This window comes from Homo sapiens, chromosome 14 (assembly GCF_000001405.40).
Source record: "Homo sapiens chromosome 14, GRCh38.p14 Primary Assembly".
Taxonomy (NCBI): Eukaryota; Metazoa; Chordata; class Mammalia; order Primates; family Hominidae; genus Homo; species Homo sapiens.
The window spans coordinates 59,437,855-59,445,228 of NC_000014.9; the positions used below are offsets into that span (position 1 = coordinate 59,437,855).

General features: G+C 37.7%; 1 annotated feature.

Moving 5' to 3' along the window:
• Positions 1,158 to 1,327: an enhancer, noted in NCBI's record as "experimental_34615 CRE fragment used in MPRA reporter constructs". NCBI's record gives its function as "activates a minimal promoter by MPRAs in K562 erythroleukemia cells, with activity observed for the introgressed 14:59905815 variant allele {active_cell/tissue: K562}" and the evidence as "EXISTENCE:reporter gene assay evidence [ECO:0000049][PMID:34662402]".

The window sequence follows — 7,374 nt, forward strand, 5'->3', positions numbered from 1 at the left end:
TAAATAAAAGAGCCAAAAGAAACAAACTCTTACAAGAAAACACACATGTGAATCTTTGAGAACTTAGGATAAGCCTGTTTAGGTAGGCCAATAAAAGCACAAGCAATAAAACAAACAAAAAAGATAAATTGGACTTCATAGAAATAAAAAACTTGGGGACATCAAAGATTTTATCAAGAAAGTGAGAAGGCAACCTACAATATGACAGAAAATATTTGCAATCTTGATATATGACAGGAACTTGTATCCAGAGTATATAAAGAACTCCTACAAGTCAACAATAAAATGACAAATAACCCAATTTAGAAATAGGGAAAATACTTATATAGACATTTCTCCAAAGGAGACATATTAAATAGAAATGGCCAACAAGCACATAAAAGACATTCAACATCATTATTATTAGGGAAATGCAAGTCAAAACCACAATAAGATACCACTTCATGCCTGTCAGGGTGACTAATACTAAAAACAAAACAAAGCAATAGCCATAAGAGGTATTGGCGAGGGTGTGAAGAAACTGGAATCCTTATACATTGCTAGTGGAAATGTAAAATGGTGCAGCTGCCTTGGAAAATGATTTGGCAGTTCCTCAAAATGGTCAACCAAGTGATACCATATGACCCAGCAATTTCACTCCTAGGTATATACTCAAAAGAAATGAAAACAAATGTCCTCACAAAACTCATACACAATGTTCATAGCAGCATTGTTCACAATACCTAAAAAGTGGAAATGACTCAAATGTCCATCACCTAATGAATGAGTAAACAAAATGTGTTTTTATCTGAAAAACAGAATATTATTCAGGAATAAAAAGAAAGAAGTACTGATATGAGCTACAGCATGAATGGACCTCAAAAACATCATGCTGAGAGAAAGAAGTCAGATGCTAAAGACCACATATTGTATGCTTAATTTATATCAAATATCCAGAATATACCAATCCATAGAGATAGAGAGTAGTGTTTTCCAGAGACCGGGAGGAGAGGGAAATGCAGAGGAACAGCTAGTGGGTATGGGGTTTCTTTTTAGGTTAGGAAGTTAGATCGTGGTGAGAGTTGCACAAGTCTGTGAATAGACTAAAAACCACTGAATTGTACACTTTAAAGGATAAATAGTATGGTTTGTGAATAGTATCTCTGAGTTGTCATAAAAAAACACATTTGAACAGCTTCTACAATGTTGCTTTATCACTTGCTATCTCTCAGGCCTCATTAGCATCAATATAGTTGTGAAACGAATTTTTAAAGACATTTAATATAGAACCTCCCATTTAGAGAAATAAAATTTCAACAAAATAATGTTTAATGAATTCTGAACTTGTCATATTAGACAAAGTAAGTCAAACTATTGAAAGCATGAGGTAGAAAATCAATAAACCTTAGGCATAAAAACATGTTTCATGACGACAAAGCTTAGTTTAAAAATGTTTCATAAATTAAAAACATGGAAAACTGAAAGCTTATCAACCCTTTTACTTATTTTATTAACCTCAGATGTTATGAAAAGAACTAAAGCAGTTTATTTGATTTGGCTGAACACATATGAATTACTTAAAAATGAAGCATAGCCATCCAAATAGCATGCTTTAAATGCCTGTCCAGTGATTTACAGCTAATTGCCAAATATTATTCCGTTGCTAAATCTTTACATTTGCTTTACTAAGGTTTGCTAAATTAGTTAAAATAAACTCAAGCATAGCATATTTCCAGAATATTTTTGATAAAAGATGTCACAAACATACATTTCCTACATATTTTAAAAATATTTAATAGGAAACTATCTTATGTCATATTTCCCAGGAAAAAGATAGAGAAACAGATTTGTGTATGGGAAGTTTATTGTGCAATGGTCTCAAGATAAAAACTGTGAGACGTTAAGGAACCAGGGTTGAGCAAAAAGAGTCGAATTGTGATGTAATTGCAAAAAAACATCTCAGCTAATCCCACTGGAGCTTGGAAGCTACGCTGGCCTTTCTGAGTTGTTCCAAATTAAGGCAAGGGGGCCTGATTTGTATATCACCACACTGACCAGTCATTGGATGTGGGCTGCACCTGGGGAGTGGTCATAATGCTGGGTGAAGAAATTCCTTTCACCTGAGGGCAATTCTTGGTGAGGGATTTGCTCTGAGCCATCAACAGGTAATAATTCTGACAGCTGGGGAAATGAATGCCTTGGTCCTGAAGCAGGTATCTGAGCAAGACACCACATTATCCATTCAGTGCACCCTTTGAACTGCTCAGATCCATTTGCTTTGTATAAAACAGTCACACCACCTGCTTCCTTTTGGTTGGTCTCTTTTCCAGTGAAATTTACAAAAGGAAAGTTGGTGGAATGAAGTATAATCCCCACTGCTGCACCTGATTGCAGAGTTGCAACTAATATTCAATTTTTGAATTCTCATTACTTTTGGCTGGTACCTCCACTAGACCGGGTGGCTTGCCCATAGGGGTGACCCAGGCCCTCATTACTGTGCCATCGAAGCCCTGCTCACTATGCCCTCCTTAGGGCCAATGATCTGCACTGTTCCTTCACTGTCAACTTTAGACAGGCGAACACTAAGAGATGCCCCAGTATATCACATGGAGCAAACCTATTCTCTCCTTCCCCATTGTGGAACAGCAGTCCTGCCTCCCACAGAACCTGGGGTTGTTTGAAATGCAGTCCCAAAGCATAGCTAGGTTCTCACATCTGTGGAAGCCAGCACTTAACAGTCCACACTTCAACCTCTTGCTCTGTGTCTCACAGCACGACTATTGATGTTTCAATGTGCACTAAATAAACTGACATTTCTTTCCAACTGTATCCTCTACATCTTTTCCACATCATGTCAACAACCAGAATACCAATACAATATTTTAGAAAGGTTGAGAAGTTCTCCAAAAGCAGAGAATATGTTCAGGAGGAATGTCCTCTCCCCTTTTTGCATGTGAGCTATACTATTTGAGGACAAAATTAGTGAAAGGAGTAGCTTAACTTTTAATGGATCAGGAGGGGAACTTCATTCCATGCTAATGACATACCACTTTCCCCATAATTAGGGAGGATGTTTATTCAGCCAGGATGCTGAAAAATACATTTTAAGATATAGAAGCAGCATCTGTGTTCATACCATATTGGTTGTTGAATATTTTGACTATTATACCTGCAGTTTGATAAATTGAAGGTAAGTTGTAAGTACATAAAGTTGATTAGCCTTTTCGGCACCAAAGGCAAAAAAAAAAAGAAAAAAATCTGGAAACTACTTAGAAATTATTTGACAGCATTGACCTCAAGTTCACCTCTGTTATGGACTTAAGCGCTTTGATACACAAGAGTATTTTATTTGTTTTAGAAGAGGCTGTCAGGTTATCCATTTCATGTTAAATCCAATATTCTTTGTTTAATTTCTGATTATTTTTGTTTGCATTTATCCCAAATATTGATTTAGAATAAAATCCACTCTTGACCCTGACTTTTCTCCACTACCTATTTTTCAGGAAAATTTTTGCAAATAGGCTGATTGAGTAGACTATATAGAAATGAACAAACATCTTTTTATCAGCTCTTTAAAAAATGTGTAGACACGCAGTAATACAAAAACATTGCTCCAATTAAGAAAGCAAAAGTACAAATATGCTTACATTGAAAAACATTTTTTGAGACAATGGTATATTTTAATAGTCTAGAGTGGCTCATTTATATTACTTGGGTTTATGAGTAGAATGAGAGGCATTGTTATGGAGGATGAGAGGAATAATGTAAAAATAAAGTGAACTAAGAGTGTATTTGCAACCTAATTTACTTTATTTAAAAAATTTTGTGACTCGCCCAATCTATGTGCTTCATAAGACAACTATCTGTTTCACTGCTTTCAACCGGGGTCTAAGAGCCTGGCACATAATAGATGCTCGATAACTGTGTGTCAAACGAATAAATGCACAAAGTGTTCATTGCTCACCTAATATGCCACAATAGCAAACAACTTCTCTCTCTCCTTCTTCCTTTCTTTTGTAAATTTTCTTTATCTTCTTCTCTCCCTCCTTAGCCCCCTCTTCTTCCTTCCCTCTCCTTATCTCTCTTTAGTCTCCTCTCTGTTCTTCCCTCCCTTCTGTTCTCCTTTCAAAGTAGATCACAGAAAGATGTTTAGGAGACATTCATTAGAGAATGTTCAGTAGCACAAAGACAGCAGAAAATGTATACAGTATCACATTTTCCATCCTTTCTTTTCTTTTTTAACTAAATCTTGAAATTCTGAAGTTATGTGACTTTGTATGTTTTAAAGGGGTGTTGTCGTGTTGCATGGGTGTCTTGTGTAACTAAAACAAACTCTCCACCCTGCCCTTGTCTTATTGTGCAGTTTCTTTCTTTTCATTTTTATTTTATTTACTTATTTTTTTGAGGCAGGGTCTCATCTCACTCTATTGCCCAGGCTGGAGTACAGTGGCATGATCTCGGCTCACTGCAGTCTCACCCTCCCTGGGCTCAAGCAATCCTCCCATCTCAGCCTCCTGAGTAGCTGGGACTACAGGCACACAACACCACACCCAACTTTTTTTTTTTTTTTTTCCATAGAGATGGGGTTTCACCATGTTGCCCAGGCTGGTCTTGAACTCCTGGACTCAAGCCATCTACTCACCTTGGCCTCCCGAAGTGCTGGGATTATGAGCATGTACCACCACACCCATCCCACAGTTTCTAAGAGAATCTGACCTTTTTCAGTTTCCAGAGACAGTCTTTGTGATTAATGATCTATCTGTGTTAGTCTAAGACTCCAAGACCAATCTCCCATTTCCAAAGACAGAACTGGGAGAAACTTCCCTTTCCTCTAAAGAGGTGATTCTGTATGTAAGCTAAGAGTAATCAAAGCAAGTTAGAATGCAATCTCCTTATATCCTTGTGAGAAGGATGGGAGAGGCTCCCCACACATGAAGGTAAACAAGAGGTTGCAGATTTTCACCATCGTTGACAGGGTGGGTGGTGTGCTGGCAGAGGGGAAGCAGTAGAGTTATTCAGGCTGAATGGACATCACTAAGGGAACCAGGTTCTTTCAGGTGCACAGGGGAAATCAGCAAGTTTCAGTGAATTCATGACAACTTGCCTCAGGCTGCTATGAAAGATGGCCACAAGGTCTCCTCTATTAGTGAGGCTAGCTAGGTGCAATCCTGACCTTTATTAAGAGTAACCAGACATTCGGGAGCTGGTTGCCTAAGTGCCCAGTAATCAGTTAAAAAGATGTCACAGAAAGGCAATTTCACTCTTACATTTCAAATATAATATTGATGCTAAGATTCAAACTGACTGGAAAAACAGAGATTCATCCAGCCGCAGAGGGCCTGATAGGGATAAAGGAGGCATGCTAAGGGATATAAATTACTACTTCTGTGAACTCCCAGAAAAGATTCTACCCTTGTTAATTTCATCCTGCCTCCTCCTCACTCTCAGATCCCCAAACCTCCACCCTTGTCTGCCTCTCTTCCCATCCATCCCTGCTGTGGGTTCTAATCCCAATCCTGCTGTTGTTTAGCTGGCTATATTATCTTGAACAAGTTATTTTTCTTTGAGTCTCAGCTTCTTCATCTATGCAATGGGGAATAGTAATATCCGGCCCATTGATATGAAATAATATGAGCAAAGGACTTCATGGAGGCAATCAATAAATGCTAGATACATCCCAAATCCCACTCTCTAAAGAATAGTCTTAGAAAACTAAAACTTTCAAATCACAAGCCTAACTCTATTTTCCAAATGTAAGAAATTTGCCTTATTTCTCAGTTGCCCTGATGCATTCCATCCATCATATAAAATAAATAATTTAAATGAAAAGTTAATTGAACGCTTAGAGCACTAAAAGTCATTCTAAGTTCTTCTTTCAGAGAATTAAAGATGCAAAAGGAAAAACTAATTTCAACATTATGCATTCAAAGAAATCTAAATTGTAACAAATTATTTATGTATATATTTAGTCTCTATTTCCTGTTCAAATACTTCAAATACATTTATAACCATTTGGAACTGTTATTACCAATATTTTAAGATGTTACACGATCCAATAGGAAATATTAACTGTTTTATTGTTAAAGAGTCATATTAAAATAATGCCATGACATATGTGTTATCAATTAGGCAATGAGCTACCAGTCAATATGTTTTGCCTTATAAAGAATTTTAGCCAAGATAAAGCTTGTTTGTTTGACTTAGAAAGCCAAAGTTGAACCTGTGTGATAACTCTTTGATCACATGTAATAACTGAAGCATAAGAAAATTGGTTTTTAGTATAATCACCAATCGTCCTCCCTTCCTCCCACTGAGAAAAAAATTCGGCCTTGTTTAAATACTCAGCTTAATTAAATTATGTATTTAATATATGATACATTTGTCTTGGCTTTGCATAGCACAAAAATGATAGATTAAATTTTTATGTGATAATTAAAGCCAAACTGTTATCAATAAGAATGTTAAAGCATTTAAAGATTATGAAAGTTTAATGTGTTCTGATGTGTTGCTTTTCAAAATCGTTGGGGCATTCCCGCTTTGAAAATTGTTGTACTTGATAATGGAGCCTCCTTGTGGGGAATCAGCAGTATTTCAGGCTTTCAAATTGCAGGTGAACTGCTGTTTGAATTTTCCCCCTTCACAACGGGAATAGATGTACTGTAGTAGTGCTATCAAGAAAATATGTACTTGTCGCCGGGTGCCGTGGCTCACGCCTGTAATCCCAGAACTTTGGGAGGCCGAGGCGGGTGGATCACGAGGTCAGAAGATCGGGACCATCCTGGCTAACACAATGAAACCCCATCTCTACTAAAAATACAAAAAATTAGCCGGGCGTGGTGGCGGGCGCCTGTAGTCCCAGCTACTGGGGGGGCTGAGGCAGGAGAATGGCGTGAACCCGGGAGATGGAGCTTGCAGTGAGCTGAGATTGTGCCACTGCACTCCAGCCTGGGCGACAGAGTGAGACTCCGTCTCTAAATAAATAAATAAATACTAAAAAAAAAAAAAAAAAAGAAAAGAAAATATGTACTTGTCTCTGGACCCCTGACATCCAGAAACCAGCAGGAACTTAATGACTGCCAGAAAGTAAGGAAATATGTGCTGCCTTTCCTTTGGTTTGTCTGTAGTCCTGGTAGCTAAAGATAAACCAGTATTAATTTTTTTCAGTCAAATCGATTATGTTCTCTGGAGAGTAAACAAGTAGATTGACAAATTTTTTTACTTTTAAACTGCCCAATGTAGCTGGGCATGATGGTGCATGTCTGTAGTCCTAGCTACTTGGGAGGCCGAGGTGGGAAGATTGCTTGAGCCTAGGAGTTGGAGGTTACAGTGACCTATGATCCTGCACCTCACTCCAGTTTGGGTGAGAGCAAGACCCTGTCTCAAAAAACAAACCAA